General features: G+C 40.9%; 4 annotated features.

Annotated features, from left to right (window-relative positions):
- Positions 2,081 to 2,730: an enhancer, noted in NCBI's record as "H3K27ac hESC enhancer chr4:173991635-173992284 (GRCh37/hg19 assembly coordinates)". NCBI's record gives its function as "activates a minimal SCP1, AML or CMV promoter by ChIP-STARR-seq in naive H9 embryonic stem cells {active_cell/tissue: H9 hESC(naive)}" and the evidence as "EXISTENCE:reporter gene assay evidence [ECO:0000049][PMID:30033119]".
- Positions 5,372 to 6,170: an enhancer, noted in NCBI's record as "OCT4-NANOG-H3K27ac hESC enhancer chr4:173994926-173995724 (GRCh37/hg19 assembly coordinates)". NCBI's record gives its function as "activates a minimal SCP1, AML or CMV promoter by ChIP-STARR-seq in naive H9 embryonic stem cells {active_cell/tissue: H9 hESC(naive)}" and the evidence as "EXISTENCE:reporter gene assay evidence [ECO:0000049][PMID:30033119]".
- Positions 6,171 to 6,969: an enhancer, noted in NCBI's record as "OCT4-NANOG-H3K27ac hESC enhancer chr4:173995725-173996523 (GRCh37/hg19 assembly coordinates)". NCBI's record gives its function as "activates a minimal SCP1, AML or CMV promoter by ChIP-STARR-seq in naive H9 embryonic stem cells {active_cell/tissue: H9 hESC(naive)}" and the evidence as "EXISTENCE:reporter gene assay evidence [ECO:0000049][PMID:30033119]".
- Positions 15,389 to 16,122: an enhancer, noted in NCBI's record as "H3K27ac-H3K4me1 hESC enhancer chr4:174004943-174005676 (GRCh37/hg19 assembly coordinates)". NCBI's record gives its function as "activates a minimal SCP1, AML or CMV promoter by ChIP-STARR-seq in naive H9 embryonic stem cells {active_cell/tissue: H9 hESC(naive)}" and the evidence as "EXISTENCE:reporter gene assay evidence [ECO:0000049][PMID:30033119]".

Genomic DNA, 19,733 nt, shown 5'->3' on the forward strand with positions numbered 1-19,733 from the left:
CTGTTGCCAGGGAAGTAGGGGGAAGCCAATACCAATAGGTCTCGCCGAGCTCTCACAGAGTTTATGTGACCAGTCTCACTCCTGCAGTGCCTTGCTAACAGCACCAAGTTTATCTCCAGGCAGCCTGCAGGGAGAGACTCAGACCTAGCCCCAGCCTATATGTTTCCCTGCTGACAGGCCATGCCCATCCCTGTCTGCCCACACTGTTGGCTGCATCTCCTGCTTTCCTTTCTGCCGCTTTTCCTGTTCATTCCCAAATTTTGCTCAAGAGAGTTTGTGCCCAGTCTAAATTATTGCAAAGTTCCATTGGAAGCTTCATTCACCATGTGACTCCCTCCAAAATTCCACCACCTGCCTTCCCTGAGAGCCCCTGTGAGATACAGTCAGGGATAATGTCTTTGGGCTCAAGCTGGAGAATAGGAGTGCCTACAAGTCTCTTCCCACTACTGCTTCTACTTTTGTATTTCATGCCTGATTTGTTCCAACTCTAGGTAAGGTTAAATCCGTCTCCCATAATCTGTACTTTCAGGTTCTGCAGTGGGGTTGTGTGTTCAGAGGCAGGTTTTCCTCCTCTCACACTTTGGGAACTCAATTTTTCACCTGTCTCAGCAGCTTGCTGCTTCTTTCAAAGGATCTGTGATTTCTTTCAGTTTTCCTGGTATGCTCCTGCAGTGGTTCCTGAAGCAAAAGTCTGTGGTGTGAGTCTCCACATATCGTTCTGTTCATCCACGTGAGAGCTGCATGTTAGCCCTGTCTTCTATCTGCCATCTTCCCTCCATTTTGTGTTTTGATGTCACATTTACATCTTTTTATATTGTGTATCACTAACAAATTATTGCAGCTATTATTAGTTTTGTCTTTTAACCTTTTTACCAAAGATGTAAATGATTTACATACCACCATTACGGTATTAGAGTATTCTGAATTTGACTGTGTTCTTACATTTATCAGTGAGTTTTATACTTCCATATATTTTTGTGTTACTAATTAGCATCATTATCTTTCAGCTTGAAGAACTCTCTTTAGCATTTCTTGTAAGATAAGATTGGTGATAATAAACTCCCTCAACCTTTGTCTGAGAAAGTATCTTGCCTTCATTTCTGAGGGATAACTTAGGCAGGTATAGTATTCTTGGTAGGTAATTTTTTTCTTTTAACTCTTTGAATATATTATTCCACTCTCTCCTGACTGTCAGGTTTCTGCTGAGAAATCCACTGCTAGCCTTACTGGAACTTCCTTATGTGTTACTTACTTCTTTTGCTGCTACCAGGTTCCTCTCTTTATCTTTGATTTTTGACAGTTTGATTACATGTCTTAGAGTAGTCTTATTTGAATTGATTCCAGTTGAAGACTTCTGATCTTCCTTTAACTGGATATTTATGTCTTTCCTTATATTTGGAAAGTTTTCTGCAATTATTTTTTAAAATAGGCTTTCTGGACCTTGGACTTTCTCTTCTCCTTAAACACGTATAATTCAAATATTTGTTCTTTTGGTGCTGTCTCATAAATCCCATGAGCTTTATTTCTTTTTTCTCCTCTGACTGTGTACTTTCAAATAACTTTTTTTTGAGTTCACATATTTTTTTCTTTGCTCAATCAATTCTGCTGTTGATGTTTTTCTATTGCATTTTTTATTTCATTCATTGTCTTTTTAAGCTCTGTAATTTGGTTTTTAAATAATTTTATTCTTTCTGTTAAATTTTTCTTTTTGGTCATTTATGATTTTCCTTATTATGTTGGGTTGCTTCTCTGTATTTTCTTGATGTTTGCTGAGCTACCTTAAAAACAATTATTTTGAATTCCTTGTCAGGCAGTTCATAAACCTCCATTTCTTAAGGGTCAGTTACTGGAGTTTTATTTTGTTCCTTTGGTGGTATCATATTTCCCTGATTATTCTTGAACCCTGTGGCTGTATGTTGGTGTCTGTGCATTTGAAGAGTGGTGGCTTATTCCAGTTTTTGCAAACTGGATTTTTCTGGGAAAGACCTTCAGTAGTTAGCCCATCTAGAGATTCTGGGTAGGCCACCTGGCATGGTCTCTGGGCAGGCTTGCTTAGTGTCTGGGTCAGCAGGTGCACAGACCTATCTCTCAGATCCACAAGATTGAGCCTGCAGCCTGTGTCCATGGGGTTGGCCTGTGATATATGCCCCTGTACTGGGGTAGGCCTAGAGCCTGAGTTCATAGGGGTGGGTGTGGGTCCACAGGGGCTGCCCTGGAGTCTGTGTCTGCAGGGGTGGTCCTGGAGCCTGAGTTCATGGAGGTGGGTCTGCCATGGAGTCTATATCTGCAAGGGTGTTCCTGGAGCCACAGTCCATAGGGGCCAGTCTGGCACTGGAATCTATTGGAGTGGGTCCGTATCTTGTGCCTTCTGGAGCCTTGATCGACAAGGACCAGCCTGGAGACTGAAAGTGGTGTAGTGCTAGGTCAGACATGGAGCCTGGGTCCAACAGGGCCATCTTGAACCTAGGATCCCAGGTGCTGGTCTGGAGCATGGGCTTGAGGGGGCCAGCTTGGAGGATGGGAATGCAGGTTCTGGCCTAAAGCTAGTTCTTCAAGACTGGCCTGAGTCCTGGGACCATGGGGGCTTACATGAAACCTGAGTTCAGAGGGGTGGTCCTGGAGCCTTGATCCATGGGCACTGGCTCAGCACTGTGGTCTACTGGGATGGGTCTGCTGGACCCCAGGTCTGTTGGAGTGTGGGGGCACAGGTGCTAGCCTAGAGAGTAGGGCTACAGGGAACAATCTGACACTAGGCAGACCTGGATCTTGAGGCCAGGGGTGCTAAACTGGCAGTGGGGAAGATGAAGTTTAGGGATGCGAGGGCCAGTTCACTGCTGGAGGCTATTGGGAACCAGGGGCCACCAGGGTTAGCCTCTTGTTCGTGTGTGCCTAGAAACTGAGTCTGCCAGGCAAGCCTGGAGCCTGGGGCTAGAGGATCTACCCTGGTGCTGGGCAGGTCTGGAGGCTCAGCTCATGGATACTAGCCTAGAGTCTAAAGTCATGGGGACTCGCCCAACATTGGGTTTTACTGGATCTGTCCCAGGGTTGGGGCCCAAGGCAAAGGCTGATGCTCACATTCCTCTCCTTTCCCCACACAGAGGGTACCTCTCTCCAAGCTGTGATGCCTGGGGTTGGGGGAGGAGTGATGCAGGTGATATAAAACTATCTTTCCTACCTTCTTGGATGCATCTTTTCTTATTTCTGTGCTATTCCCAGGTGCTGTAATCTCTCACCTGGTTTCCTTAGCTCTTGTGAAAATAGTGTTATGCATAGATAGTTGTTTAAATTGATGTTTCTGTGAGGGCACAAGTGTTAGAAAGTCATATTCTGTCACCTTGTTCACATCCAGATGGAGAATGGATCTAAATATTTCTGTATACAATCCTTTCTGCATAGAATACTTTCTGCATAGAAAAAAATCATCTGTCTAGTCTAGTAGGTTACCAGGAGGTTTTTTTGGCTCATAAATTGATACCCTTTATTCAACTGTATCCATTTAGCAGATCCAAGCTATGACATTGAGAAAGGAATCTGTAAAGAGGTCACAGAGCAAAATCTTAGAGTCCAACTAAAGTCTTGTCTGTGAAATTTCCACCCTGACAATGTCATCATGCTGTGTACAGCTCTATATCCTCTCCACCAGATCTTTTCCCAAACACTAATATAATTACCAGAGGAAGAAATGAGCACAGGAGACATCTGGAGAAACTCAGAAACCTGAAGGTGAGAGACTGCTTGTTACACCTCCTCCTACATGATGTATTCTAGACTGAAGTTTTAGAGTGTCTCTTACAGCAAAAGTGTTATTTAATCAAATTACCCCTTCACCAATTCAGTTTCAAAATAACTGAATATTTAATTAATTCTCCAGAGGGATCTAAAATATGCAGTTTCTGAATTGATTAGTGAGTAAAAATTTTATGTTTTTTCTGTAATTCTAACCTCATTGAACTCAAACTAAATGCCCCTAAATGCTATCAATCTAAAGGATATTCGAATGTTAGAGCTGAATATTAAGAACATCTATAGGACCATGGGCTTCTAATAGCACCCACCCTGTTTTCACAATTAAGCTGTACCTGAAGTTAAAGGAGAGGGAACTATTCATAATGTGTAATTTTATAAAAATATTTAATTAAGCATTTGTAAATGCTAGGTCACAGTCAAATTTTTAAAAGCTATTTCGTGGGTATATTTAATGGTTATGCTGTGGTTTGAATGTCCCTTCAAAAGTCATGTTGAAACTTAATCCCCAATGTGACATTATTGAGAGGTGGGGCCTTTAAAAGGTGGTTGAATCATGAGGACAGACCCATTAACCCATGCTCTATTGGTCTGTCCTTGTGATTCAACCACCTTTTAAAGGCCCCACCTCTCTATAATGTCACATTGGGGAATAAGTTTATAATCCCCCTAATTATAAAGCCACCATAATGTCACATTATGGATTAATATGTTAATGAATTAATAAGCTATTGTGGGTGGGGACCAGTGGTTTTATAGAAAGAGAAAGAGAGACCTGAACAAACATGTTCAGTCCTTACCATATGTTTCCCCACACCACTTCGGGACTCTTCAGAGTCTCCACCAGCAAGAAGGCTCTCACCAGATGAAGCCCCTCAACCTGGGGCTCCTCAGCCTCCAGAACTGTAAGAAATAAAAGCATTTTTTAAAATAAATTACCCAGTTTCAGGTATTCTGTTATAAGCAAGAAAAAATGGACTAAGGCAAGGTACTTGCTTAATTCCACATGATAAAAATTCTGCAGCAGAAAAAAAAATAATATGTAGGTTCCACCTAACTGCAACTAAGCAATTAGAAAAACAAATCTCTTGTAGTTCTAAACACCCGAGAGGGGAAAAAAAGAAAGAAAGAAAAGGGAAAAAAACCAAATGTCTTAGTTAAAATACTGTGCAGCTCAAGGCTGATTACTTGTCTAACTAGAATGACAACAAACAAGGCATTTCAGGACAATCTTGAGAACAATTCGTGTATCAAAAAAGCCACCAATCGGGTATAAGGTTCTCCTTATTACGAGAAGTTACAAAACAACCTCTGCTTTGACAGATACCCTTATGGCAATGGAAATGACAATGTGAGTGGCAAAGTCGACATAAGAATATACTCAGTAGCAAAATATGGGAAACAGTCTTTATTTCCTTAATCAAAACAGGAGTGGTTAAAGAGAGTCACAGATTATAACCAGGGCAAGGAGCACTAAAAAATGGGTCATAGGTGAGGTCACCTCGATGGACCTTCAACATCGAAGTGGTCAGACAATTTTTCAACTCATTAAAATTTAAGCACATCACCCATCTACTTAAATAACAACAACAACAACAAACCTTCCTAAAAATTAACATTTTCATACAAACGTTTGAATATGCACGTTCTTATTTGCAATATAGGACTCACCAGCTCTAAAAATAAAATCATGACAGCTCACAGTCTTTCATTGTACAGTGAACATCCTAGATTTACTCACACTCAAAACTCATTCGTCCTAAATTGTCAACCACCAAGAAAATTGTGTTTTGTTTAAAAATTTTCTTGAAAGATAAATAAAACTAATCTGGCCTGGCATTTCTCTGAGTCCTCTAGGTTTAGGGGACTGGGTGGAACCCAGTTGAGGCAGCAGTCAGTAGCATCTATACAAAAAGTAGTTCCAGCCAGTGAGGCAATTAATTACCCAGCACAGATGAAAGCAGCATAAACAAAAGAGAGAGAGACTCTCTTAAATAAGGAATCCAAGTTGTTAGCAAAAGAATAACCAAAGCAGGTATGTCAAATGCAAGGGCCGAAAGGGAGATTTCTTAAAAGGGAAATGAACCAGGAATTATGAGCAGAAGCAGGTGGTAAAGCACAATTTAAAACTAGCCAAGGTGAATTTTCACAACATAGGTGTGGTGCTGAGTGCTGTATACAGGGTAAAGATACAAGGCTGGACTGGGTGATGTAAAAACTCATTAAATAAATTGTCTGACTGGTATTTGTGAGAGAGTTTATATGCTGCAAAAATACCTAGTCATTTTGTTTACTCTCAAAATGCCACTTAGGAATTCAAGGTCAGGTTTAAATTTGCACTTTTCTTCCCTAAAGCAGATGGATGGGCAAGGTCTTCAGCACCAGTCTGGAATGCAGCTTATTCAGAAGCCCTGCTGTCATGCTTAAGGCAGCCCATTTTTTAAGGGGTGGCCAGCTGAGTAGGCATTTGTCAAGCAGAGAGCAGAAACAGAACAAGATGCATGGAGGGAACATTAAGCACAAAATCAGGCCATGTGGCAATAAGCATGCCCTGCTGTGAAGCAATCTCAGCACCTGGGAGAAAGTGAGTCATTGTGAATGCAGGGAGAAAAGACACAGAGCAGCAGATTTTGCAAACAGTGACCACAACCACCAAGCCCAGACTATGTTACAAATGGACTCTGAAAAGGACTGCATCAAACACACACACACACACACACACACACACAGCACACACATGCAGCGTGCACACACACACACACGGGGTTTAACGCTCTTGCTGTAAGCACCTCTAACATATATCACTAACAGAAAAGGAATGAAAGAGAAAAAACACTTTTTAATAATTATGTTTAATAGTCATATTGTCAAAGAAATTATCTCTACTTTAATGCTATTTTCTCTCTTTGGGTGTTCTGGATTTCTCCAAAAGCTGAAAAAAATATTTTTAAGTATAAATCAGCTATTATCAGGAAATTAGAATGATTTTCAGATGACGATTCTTTCTTTTTTCCTTCCTTTCTTTTTTTTTTTTTTTTTTTTTGAGACAGGGTATTGTAATCTTGGAGACAGGGTATTGTAATCTTGCTATGTTGTCCAGGTTGGTCTCCAACTTTTGGGCTCAAGTGATCCTCCCACCTCAGTCTCCCAAGTAGCTGGGATTACAGGCATGTGCCACCATGCCTGGCTTCCATTCCAGATTTCTAAGACTACTAGTTAGACAGGTAGATAATAAACTCTTTCATTAATTCACTCATTTATTTGTTCACTCAACCATTATTTATCAAGCACCCAGCCTAAGACAACACTGTACAGACCTCTGGAGTCACAATGGTGAGCCTTACAGGTACAGTTTCTGCCTTATCGGAGTTGACATTCTGGTAGAAAAGTCAGATATTAATTAAACAGTCTCATGAATTTGGAAGCATAGAGTGGAGGACTTGGCATAGTCCCACAGATACAAGAAAAGTTTTCTTGAGGAAATGACATTTAACCTGAGCTCCAAAGGATGAGGAGAAGTGTTTTAGGACCTGCCAATTTAGGCATGATCCCCTCTCTTAGGCCTTGTTTTGTTTTGTTTCCTTTTGCTTTTTAAATATATAATGTGATTAAAGTATCAAGGCACCAAGAAAGAGACCAGCCAAAAGTGCAGGCATTTGCAGTGACATCCAGCATCTTAAAGGTGTTCTGTCACTCAGGCTGCAGTGCAGTGGTGCCATCTCGGCTCACTGCAACCTCCCCCTCTCAGGTTTAAGCGATTCTCCCACCTCAGCCTCCCGAGTAGCTAGGACTACAGGCACCCGCCACCACACCCGACTAATTTTCGTACTTTTAGTAGAGACGGGGTTTTGCCATGTTGGCTAGGTTGGTCTCAAACTCCTGACCTCAGGTGAACTGCCCGCCTCAGCCTCCCAAAGTGCTGGGATTACAGGCATGAGCTATTGCATCCGGCCAGGTTATGTATTTATATATGATATCAGGAATTGGGTGAGAGAATCACTATTAGACCAGCATAAAGTTCATTAATAAATAAGTGAGGAGTAAAAGGACAGTCATAAAAACTGGAAGGAAGAAAGGCCAAAAGGCACATGCCTCAATGAAGCACAATTTTCAACAAGACTGTGGAAGCTACCCAAAAACAGCATTGAAGAGCAAGGAGAACCCCAACCCTCTCTCTATTCTCAGAGGCATATGTGGTATGCAAAAATGCACAACTATCCCCAAGGCAACCTCAAAATCTATGCTTCCATTTCTCCAGACCATCTGCCCTTGCTCTTCCAAGTCTATCCTTTTTACTCTGTGAAAAGTTTATGGAATGATACCATCATTTCTTTTAAATTATAAACACTATTGGGTATTTGAAAGATCACATTTTTGGTTTAGCTAGCTCAACCCTAAGATAGTTAAAGCTGCTATTATAGGCCTATCAGATAGTCTCAGAAGCACCAAAAAAGTGGAATGTTTGGATAACATTCCACTTTTTTTTTTTTTTGAGATGGAGTTTCACTCTTGTTGCCCATGCTGGAGTGCAATGGCATGATCTCGGCTCACTGCAACCTCTGCCTCCCAGGTTCAAGCGATTCTCCTGTTTCAGCCTCCCAAGTAGCTGGTATTACAGGCACGCACCACCACACCTGGCTAATTTTTTGTATTTTTAGTGGAAACAGGGTTTCACCATGTTAGCCAGACTGGTCTCAAACTCCTGACCTCAGGTCATCTGCCCACCTCGGCCTCCCAAAGTGCTGGGATTACAGGCGGAGTTTAACTTTTAAAGTAAGACCTTCAAGGAATATTAATCAGGGATGCACATTCACAATCTATTCAGTTGGTATATTTGGATTTTATACTCAATATATCTATAATAGCATACTTTCACACTTCTGCATCTCCACAGTTACAAGGTCTTAATCATAGTGACTCATACTGAACTCTTCTTTAGTAAGTGGGATTAACATTCCCACATGAACTCAAGACACTAAATTATTAATAGCCTCCCAAGGCTTTTGGTTTTTACTGTAATGCCTGTAATGCTTTCATAAAAGTTTAACAGCATTTAAGTAAAATATAGGCTCAAAGTATAACAGTTTTTAAAGCTATTTTTCCTACTATGATTTCAACATTCTTCAGGATAGGAAAAAACTAACAAAAAAGGCCACTGTAAGCTTCTCATCAGGTAAATATTAAGTGAGGTGATGATCTTTGTAATTATTTTTAAATGTTATTACATCACACTGAAGAGTTTTGTTTTTACTATGTAGCATTTATGGCTCATCATCATGACTTTCTTGACCATCTGTGTTGGCATGAAACCAGTAGTAGTCAATGAAAAGTGAAAAACTGAGACAACTGTGATATGGCTCCCAAAAGACGTGGTTTTAATGGGTTTTGTCTATTAATTTTCATGACGGTAACTGGGGAAGACAATACTAGAAAACATTCAGGAGAAATGCTAATCACAAAGAGGAAATCCCTTTGCAAAATGCTGAAGAATTTATCATTAAAAAAGCAAGGAGGGCTGGTCGCAGTGGCTCATGCCTGTAATCCCAGCACTTTGGGAGGCCAAGGTAAGATCACTTGAGCCCAGGAGTTTGAGACCAGCCTGGGCAACATAGCAAGACTCTGTCTCTATTAAAAAAATTATTTTTTTAATAGGTAAGGAGGAAGGGAGATGAAGGAAATTAGTCACAGCAATGTTACCTTCAAGGGTGGGAATTAAAATAAAAAGGGTCCAAAAACAAAGGAAAATAGACCCTAAGAAGGGGTTTCCAGAAAAGACGTAGATTACAGTTGACCCTTGAATAATGAAGGAGTTAGGAGCACTGACCTTACTCGCAGTCAAAAGTATATGTATAACTTTTGACTCCTCCCAAATCCTAGCACTCCCAAAGTGCTAGGATTACAGGTGTGAGCCACTGAGTCTGGCCACATTGACAGACTTTTAATGGACTTCAGGTTGTGATAGGGTGAAAGGAAACAATCATCATATTTACCAAAGAAAGTGATCAAGAGTATATTTGTTTCAAAAGGTTTGCCATTGTTAGAAGAATGACACGGAGTGAGAACATTCAGATAAGCTGCAGAGAAAAAAAACAAAGAAAATAAGAATTCTGGATCTGCAGTTCATGGAACTCACCTACAGGAGAAAGGAATAGCAAAGGGTACAAATTATATAATGGAAATTAGAATATGAGATGAAATTGAAAGGAGAACCTGAAGAGTCAAAGTAAGAAAGAAGGGGGAGTTTACAGGGAACCTAGAAGTGGTGACACCATCATACAATCGTGAAGAAAGCAAAACTTTTAGAAGAGAAAAGCAAAATAAATAGCACATACATGTAAACAGGTAGTAAGAGAAGACTACAAAGCTCAAGATACACTTTTCAAACTAATTTTTTCAAAATTATAGACAATGAAAAGACAAAGTGTGAAGCGACTAGCATCAGGGCTCCTCTCAGTGGTAGTATTAGCTTGCTAAGGCTGTCATAATAAAATAACACAAACTCAGTGGCTTAAACATTCTGGAGGGTAGGAGTCTGAAATCAAGGAATCAGCAGGGTTGGTTCCTTCTAGGGCTGTTCAGAGAAGGATCTGTTCCAGGCTTCTGGACTTGGCCATAGACGAAGATCTTCTGTGTCCCTTCACATGACATTCTTCTGTGCATATCTGTGTCCAAACTTCTCAATTTTTTTTATACTTTAAGTTCCGGGATATATGTGCAGAATGTGCAGGTTTGTTACATAGGTATACACATGCCATGGTGGTTTGCTGCACCCATCAACCCATCATCTACATTAGGTATTTCTTCTAATGCTATCACTCCTCTTGCCTCCCACTTCCCGACAGGCCCTGGTGTGTGATGTTCCCCTCCCTGTGCCCATATGTTCTCATTGTTCAACTCCCACTTATGAATGAGAACATGTGGTGTTTAGTTCTCTATTCCTGTGCTGAGAATGATGGTTTCCAGCTTCATCCATGTCCCTGCAAAGGACATGAACTCATCCTTTTTTATGGCTACATAGTATTCCATGGTGTATATGTGCCACATTTTCTTTATCCAGTCTATCATTGATGGGCATTTGGGTTAGTTCCAAGTCCTTTCTATTGTAAATAGCGCTGCAATAAACATATATGTGTGCATGTGTCTTTATAGTAGAATAATTTCTAATCCTTTGAGTATATACCTAGTAATGGGATTGCTGGGTCAAATGGTATTTCTGGTTCTAGATCCTTGAGGAATCGCCACACTGTCTTCCACAATGGTTGAACTAATTTACACTCCCACCAACAGTGTAAAAGTGTTCTGATTTCTCCACATCCTCTCCAGCATCTGTTGTTTCCTGACTTTTTAATGATTGCCATTCTAACTGACGTGAAATGGTATCTCATTGTGGTTATAATTTGCATTTCTCTAATGACCAGTGATGATGAGCTTTTTTTCATATGTTTGTTGGCTGCATAAATGTCTTCTTTTGAGAAGTGTCTTTTCATATCCTTTGCCCACTTTTTGATGGGGTTAGTTTTTTCTTGTAATTTGTTTAAGTTCCTTGTAGATTCTGGATATCAGCCCTTTGTCAGATGGATAGATTGCAAAAATGTTCTCCCATTCTGTAGGTTGCCTGTTTACTCTGATGATAGTTTCTTTTGCTGTGCAGAAGCTCTTTAGTTTAATTAGATCTCATTTGTCAATTCTGGCTTTTGTTGCCATTGCTTTTGGTGTTTGGTCATGAAGTCTTTGCCCATGCCTATGCCCTGAATGGTATTGCTTAGGTTTTCTTCAAAGGTTTTTATGGTTTTAGGTCTTATGTTCACATTTTTAATCCATCTTGAGTTAATTTTTGTATAAGGTGGAAGGAAAGGGTCCAGTTTCAGTTTTTTGCATATGGCTAGCCAGTTTTCCCAACACCATTTATTAAATAGGGAATCGTTTCCCCATTGCTTGTTTTTCTCAAATTTGTCAAAGATCAGATGGTTGTAGATGTGCAATGTTATGTCTGAGGCCTCTATTCTGTTCCATCGGTCTGTATATCTGTTTTGGTACCAGTACCATGCTGTTTTGGTTACTGTAGCCTTGTAGTATGGTTTGAAGTCAGGTAGCATGAGGCCTCCAGCTTTGTTCTTTTTGCCTTAGGACTGTCTTGGCTATACAGGCTCTTTTTTGGTTCCATGTGAAATTTAAAGTAGTTTTTTCTAATTCTGTGAAGAAAGCCAATGGTAGCTTAATGGGTATAGCACTGAATCTATAAAGTACTTTGGGCAGTATGGCCATTTCCATGATACTGATTCTTCCTATCCATGAGCATGGCATGTTTTTCCATTTGTTTGTGTCCTCTCTTCTTTCCTTGAGCAGTGGTTTGTACTTCTCCTTGAAGAGGTCCTTCACATTCCTTTAAGTTATATTCCTAGGTATTTTATTCTCTTTGTAGTAGTTGTGAATGGAAGTTTACTTATGATTTGGCTCTCTGTTTGTCTATTATTGGTGTATAGGAATGCTTGTGATTTTTGCACATTGATTTTGTATCCTGAGACTTTGCTGAAGTTGCTTATCAGCTTAAGGAGTTTTGGGTTGAGACAATGGGGTTTTCTAAATATACAATCATGTCATCTGCAAACAGAGATAATTTGACTTCCTGTCTTCCTATTTAAATACCCTTTATTTCTTTCTCTTGCCTGACTGCCCTGGCCAGAACGTCCAATACTATGTTGAATAGGAGTGGTGAGAGAGGGCATCCTTGTCTTGTGCTGGTTTTCAAAGGGAATGCTTCCAGCTTTTGCCCATTCAGTATGATATTGGTTGTGGGTTTGTCCTAAATAGCTCTTATTATTTTGAGATACATTCCGACAATACCTAGTTTATTGAGTGTTTTTAGCACGAACGTTGTTGAATTTTATCAAAGAGCTTTTCTGCGTCTATTGAGATAATCATGTGGTTTTTGTCATTGGTTCTGTTTATGTGATGGGTTACATTTATTGATTTGCGTTTGTTGACCCAGTCTTGCATTACAGGGATGAAGCCAACTTCATCACAGTGGATAAGCTTTTTAATGTGCTGCTGGATTAGGTTTGCCAGTATTTTATTGAGAATTTTTACATAGATGTTCATCAGGGATATTGGCCTGAAATGTTCTTTTTTTGTTGTGTCTCTACCAGGTTTTGGTATCAGGATGATGCTGGCCTCCTAAAATGAGTTAGGGAGGAGTCCCTCTTTATCTATTGTTTGGATAGTTTCAGAAGGAATGATACCAGCTCCTCTTTGTACCTGTGGTAGAATTCAGCTATGAATCCACCTGGTCCTGGGTTGTTTTTTTTTTTTTTTTTTTTGGCTGGTTGGTAGGCTATTAATCACTGCCTCAATTTCAGAAGCTGTTATTGATTTATTCAGGGATTCAGCTTTTTGGGAGCTGAAGGGGGTTTAGTCTTGGGAGGGTGTATGTGTCCAGGAATTTATCCATTTCTTCTAGATTTTCTTGTTTACTTGCCTAGGGGTGTTTATAGTATTCTCTGATGGTAGTTTGTATTTCTGTGGGATCAGTGGTGATATCCCCTTTATCATTTTTTTATTGTGTCTATTTGATTCTTCTCTCTTTTCTTCTTTATTAGTGTGGCTAGTGGCCTCTCTATTTTGTTAATCTTTTCAAAAAACAGTTCCTGGATTCATTGACTTTTTGATGGGTGTTTCGTGTCTCTATCTCCTTCAGTTCTGCTCTGATCTTAGTTATTTTTTGTCTTCTGCTAGCTTTTGAATTTGTTTGCTCTTGCTTCTCTAGTTCTTTTAATTGTGGTGTTAGGTTGTCAATTTTAGATCTTTCCCACTTTTTCATGTGGGCATTTAGTGCTATAAATTTCCCTCTAAACACTGAGTTAGTTTTGTCCCAGAGATTCTGGTACATTGTGTCTTTGTTCTCATTGGTTTCAAAGAACTTATTTATTTCTGCCTTAATTTCATTATTTACCCTGTAGTCATTCAGGAGAAGGTTGTTCAGTTTCCATGTAGTTGTATGGTTTTGACTGAGTTTCTTAATCCTGAGTTCTAATTTGATTGCACTGTGGCCTGAGAGACTCTTTGTTATGATTTCTTTTCTTTTGCATTTGCTAAGGAGTGTTTTACTTCCAATTATGTAGTCGATTTTAGAATAAGTGTGATGTGGTGCTGAGAAGAATGTATATTCTGTTGATTTGGGGTGGAGAGTTCTGTAGATGTCTATTAGATCTGCTTGGTCCAGAGCTGAGTTCAAGTCCTGTATATCCTTGCTAATTTTCTGTCTCATTGATGTGTCTAACATTGACAGTAGGGTGTGAAAGTCTCCCACTATTATTGTGTGGGGGTTTCAGTCTCTTTGTAGGTCTCTAAGAACTTGCTTTATGAATCTGGGTGCTCCTGTATTGGGTGCATATATATTTAGGATAGTCAGCTCTTCTTGTTGCATTTATCCCTTTACCATTGTGTAAAGCCCTTCTTTGTCTTTTTTGATCTTTGTTGGTTTAAAGTCTATTTTATCAGAGACTAGAATCGTAACCTCTACTCTTTTTTTTGCTTTCCATTTGCTTGGTAAATCTTCCTCCATTCCTTTATTTTGAGCTTATGTGTGTCTTTGCACATGAGATGGGTCTTCTGAATACAGCACACTGATGGGTCTTGACTCTTTATCCAATTTGGCAGTCTGTGTCTTTTAATTGGGGCATTTAGCCTGTTTACATTTAAGGTTAATATTGTTATGTGTGAATTTGATCCTGTCATTATGATGCCAGCTGTTTGTTTTGCCCATTAGTTGATGCAGTTTCTTCATAGTGTCAATGGTCTTTACATTTTGGTGTATTTTTGCAGTGGCTGGTACCAGTTTTTCCTTTCCATATTTAGTGATTCCTTCAGGGCCTCTTGTAAGGCAGGCCTGTTGGTGACAAAATCCCTCAGCATTTGCTTGTCTGTAAAGGATTTTATTTCTCCTTCATTTATGAAGCTTAGTTTGACTGGATATGAAATTCTGGGTTGAAAATTCTTTTCTTTAAGAATGTTGAATACTGGCCCCCACTCACTTCTGGCTTGTAGAATTTCTGCCGAGAGATCCATTGTTGGGCTTCCCTTTGTGCACAACCCGATCTTTCTCTCTGGCTACCCTTAATATTTTTTCCATCATTTCAACCTTGGTGAATCTGAAAATTATGTGTCTTGGGGTTGCTCTTCTCAGTCTGACCCTTATCAGAGCTTTCCTGAATTTGAATGTTGGCTTGTCTTGCTAGGTTAGGGAAGTTCTCCTGGATAATTTCCTGAAGGGTGTTTTCCAACTTGGTTCCATTCTCCCTGTCACTTTCATGTACATCAATCAAACGTAGGTTTGGTCTTTTCACATAGTCCCATATTCCTTGGAAGCTTTGTTCATTCCTTTTCATTCTTTTTTCTCTAATCTTGTCTTCATGCTTTATTTCATTAAGTTGATCTTCAATCTCTGATATCCTTTCTTCTGCTTGATAGATTTGGCTATTGATACTTGTGTATGATTCACGAAGTTCTCATGCTCTGTTTTTCAGCTCCATCAGGTCATTAATGTTCTTCTCTAAACTGGTTATTCTAGTTAGCTGTTCCTGTAACCTTTTATCAAGGTTCTTAGCTTCCTTGCATTGGGTTAGAACATGCTCCTTTAGCTCAGAGGAGTTTTTTATTACCCACCTTCTGAAGCCTACTTCTATCTATTCATCAAACTCATTCTCTATCCAGTTTTGTTCCCTTGCTGGCAAGGAGTTGTGATCCTTTGTAGGAGAAGAGGCATTCTTGTTTTTGGAATTTTCAGCCTTTTTGCACTGGCTTTTCCTCATCTTCGGGGATTTACCTACTTTTCGTCTTTGATGTTGGCAACCTTCAGATGGGGTTTTTGCAGGGTTATCCTTTTTGTTGATGTTGATGCTATCTTTCTGTTCGTTTTCTTTCTAACAGCCAGGCCCCTCTTCTGCAGGTCTGCTGGAGTTTGCTAGGGGTCCACTCCAGAACCTGTTTGCCTGGGTATCACCAGCAGAGGCTGCAGAGCAGCAAAGATTGCTGCCTGCTCCTTCCTCTGGAAGCTTCATTCCAGAGGGGCACTTGCCAGATGCCAGCCGGAGCCCTCCTGTATGAGATGTCTGTCAACCCCTGCTGGGAGGTGTCTCCCCATCAGGAGGCACAGGGATCAGGGACCCACTTGAGGGGGCAGTCTGACCCTTATCAGAGCTTGAATGCTGTGCTTGGAGATCTACTGCTCTCTTCAGGGCTGACAGGCAGGAACGTTTAAGTCTGCTGAAGCTGTGCCTTCCCCCAGGTGCTCTGTCTCAGAGAGATGAGAGTTTTATGTATAAGCCCCTGACTGGGGCTGCTACCTTTCTTTCAGAGATGCCCTGCCCAGAGAGGAGGAATCTAGAGAGGCAGTCTGGCTACAGCGGCTTTGCCACACTGTAGTGGGTTCTGACCAGTTCGAATCTCCCAGCAGCTTTGTTTACACTGTGAGGGAAAACCACCTACTAAGGCCTCAGTAATGGTGGATGCCCCTTCCCCCACCAAGCTCGAGCATCCCACGTTGACTTCAGACTGCTGTGCTGGCAGCAAGAATTTCAAGCCAGTGGATCTTAGCTTGTTGGGCTCCACAGGGGTGGGATCTGCTGCGCAAGACAACTCAGCTCCCTGGCCTCAGCCCCCTTTCCAGGGGAGTGAACAATTCTGCCTTGCTGGCGTTCCAGGAGCCATTCAATTGGAAATGCAGAAATCACCCACCTTCTGCGTTGGTCTTGCTGGGAGCTACAGACCAGAGCTGTTCCTATTCGGCCACCTTGCCTGGGAATCCCCCACTTTTTTTTTTTTTTTTAAGACAGGGTCTTGCTCTGTCACCCAGGCTGGAGTGCAGTGGTGCCATTTTGGCTCACTGCAACCTCTGCCTCCCAGGCTCAAGCAATTCTCATGCCTCAGCCTCCCAAGTAGCTGGAATTACAGGCATGTGCCACCATGTCCAGCTGATTTTTGCATTTTTAGTAGAGACAGGGTTTCGTTATGTTGGCCAGGCTGGTCTTGAACTCCTGGCCTCAAGTGATCCACCCACCTCGGCCTCCCAAAGTGCTAGGATTACACACATTTCCCCTTCTTATAAGAATACTAGTCACAGTGGATTAGAGGACCACCCTATTCCAGGATGACTTCATGCCAACTTAATCAATTTTATCAGCAACAATTCTCAGTCCAAATAAGGTCACATTCTAGGGTACTGGGGTTAGGGTTTAACATACGAATTTTAGGAGGACGTCATTCAATCCATAACAGTAGTCAACAGGGTTGCCAGCAGAATGCCAAGCAGGAGAGGGATTTTTATGTAACCCAGCTATCATCTGAGGTCTCCTGCTCCTTGAAATTTAAATACAATCATACTGAACCCCTATCCACACCCAGTGGATATTCACGCCCTCCCCAATACTTCAGTGGTTTCCCTGGGTATTATCAAGGCAAACTCCCATTTCTGGTTCCTGCTCCCATGTGCTCTCTATCTTGCTGCAATGACCCACGAGAGCAATATGTGTCTTCCTTCCTTGGTATCCACCAAACCAATGAAAAACAAGTTAGGGTCCTACTCATTCTAAGGACTCATGAGGGTAATGCATGTTGCTAAAGATACAAAGGCCATTTGGGAAAATGAGGTGTGGGAGATGAGGTATGTGTGTGTAGGCAGCACACAGTGAGCCACTAAACCTTTCTGTCATGAAGTGTCTTGCAGGCCAGTTTGCCACCAGGCTTCCACGCCAAGGTTGCTCCTTCCTGATGCCTGGCATATCTTCAAGCAAACCTTTGTGCTGCCAAATCAACCCTGTGTTTCCTGTAGTCTTCTGTGAACTGGAGTGAATTCCCTGAAGAAAAGGAGAGAGGCCCTGTCCCATCCCCACTGGGTCACATGTGTCACATTGGCACTGGAGCAGGGCCACTTGTGTGTTGCAGTGGGCCTCTTGCGGTTACAGCCCTCTCAGCTTCCCTTTGAGCCTCTGTCTTGAGACTCATCCGAGGGTGGGATCCTATATGAAAGATACAAACTGTGTGGCCTCCTTCATTCCTTTCCTCCCTTTTCCCAGGGTGTAGGGCAAAATGCCTTTACCTCGCTTCATGCAGATAAACTTCTTATAGCACCATCTATGAATCTAGGCTTGTCTGCATCCCATAATATACTCAAATAGGAACTTTTGTTTCATTTACTCATTAAGCTTTCTGAAATGGGAGCTTTGGCAATGAAACACAAGAAAATTCCCATCACAACTGAAAGAAACTGAAAAATGTAAGAGAAATGATCTAAGGGAGTGGGGATCTGTTCTTTCAATGTGTCAGAAAAGAGGAAACATATTACAATACATAGAAACTCTCAATGGAAAGCACAAACCCAAAGATTTTTAAAGAGCAAAGTAAACATTCCCAACTGCGAGCATATTCATCAAGCACGTGCTAGAAAAAACAAAGGTAAAATACCAGAGTGAGATATCAAAAGACAACATCTGAGAGACAGTTCCGTCAACAGAGTCAAAACTGATAAGGGAAGAAGAGAAATCAAGCAAGATTAAAGACATCTCCTACAGATATTTTAAGTATACAAGGAGAGACTAAAGAACGGTAGTGGGCTTAGGAACTAGAAATAGATTGAAGTTTAGCCAGAGGAAAAGAAAATAAAAAAGATCTTTAAAAGGAGCACTGCACAGAACTGTTTCCAAAACAAAGCGTAGAAGGGACCAATTCTCAGGAAGGTGGGGTGGACACTATGATATGCTGCCCAGACCCCTGCAAGCAGAGAAGGACCCTTTACCTCAACTCCTGGAGGTGCTGGGTACCTTCAGTTGGTAGCCCCTTCAGGGACTGCCTCAGTTGGCAGAAGAGCCCTGCTCAAGGTCATGTCCCTTCTCAGGAAAGCCCACATTCAGTCACTCTTCAATTCAAGGACCTAAAGGTCTGGCCACTTTGACCCAACTCAGGACATCTCTGAAGGGCCATTCTAGCTCCAGAGTTCCCGGTGGGGTTGGTTAACACTGTCGATGGGTCTGCATAACACTTTGTCTTCTCCATCTACCCTCTTCTGCTTCCTCCCCTCCCTTTCTTATGCATTGATATCAAAAGCATTCCTTAATTACTATACTGACGACTAAACTTCATCTCAGAGTTTTCCCTTGCTTTCCTGGGAACCAAGTTTGTGAAGGAAGGTGAACCACCTTACATAAACAAATGAATTTATGCATCCCTACAAGTGAGTGATATGAATAAGATGCTAAGCAGAGGGAAAGCTCCTGTGTTTATAACATCACTGCTTTGTTCTTAAAACTTCGAGGATGGTCTGAGAAAACTTGGTTTTCAATGTCATATGCAGGAAAAGTCAGCATTCACAATTTAAAGAAACAAGTATATTATCAATATAGTGTTAAAGAGAGAGAGGAAAGGCAGTTTTCACTTGATGGTATTACCACCATGCAAACTTCTTTTAGAAAAATTATTACGGATATATAATAGTTGCACATATTTATGGAGTAGATGTGATACTTTGATACAAACATACAATGTGTAATGATCAAATTGGGATAACTGAGGTATCCATCATTTCAAACATTTATCATTTCTTTGTGTTTGGAATGTTCCAATTGCTCTCTTTCGGTTATTTTGAAATATAAGATAAATTATTGTCAATTATAGCCATCCTTTTGTGCAACCAAACATTATATCGTATTCCTTCTATCTAACTGTATGTATGCATTAACCAACCCCTTTTTATCCCCCACCTCCCCACTACCCTTACTGACTCTGGTATCTATCATTCTACTCCCTACATTCAGAAGATCAACTTTTTTTAGCCCCATATATATGAGTGAGAATATGCAATATTTATCTTTCTGTGCCTGGCTTGTTTCACTTAACATAATGTCATCCAGTTCCATCCACGTTGTTGCAAACAACCGGATTTCATTCTTTTTTATGGCTGAACAGATTTCCATTGTGTATATGTACCACACTTTGTTTAT

Source organism: Homo sapiens, chromosome 4 (assembly GCF_000001405.40).
Source record: "Homo sapiens chromosome 4, GRCh38.p14 Primary Assembly".
Taxonomy (NCBI): domain Eukaryota; kingdom Metazoa; phylum Chordata; class Mammalia; order Primates; family Hominidae; genus Homo; species Homo sapiens.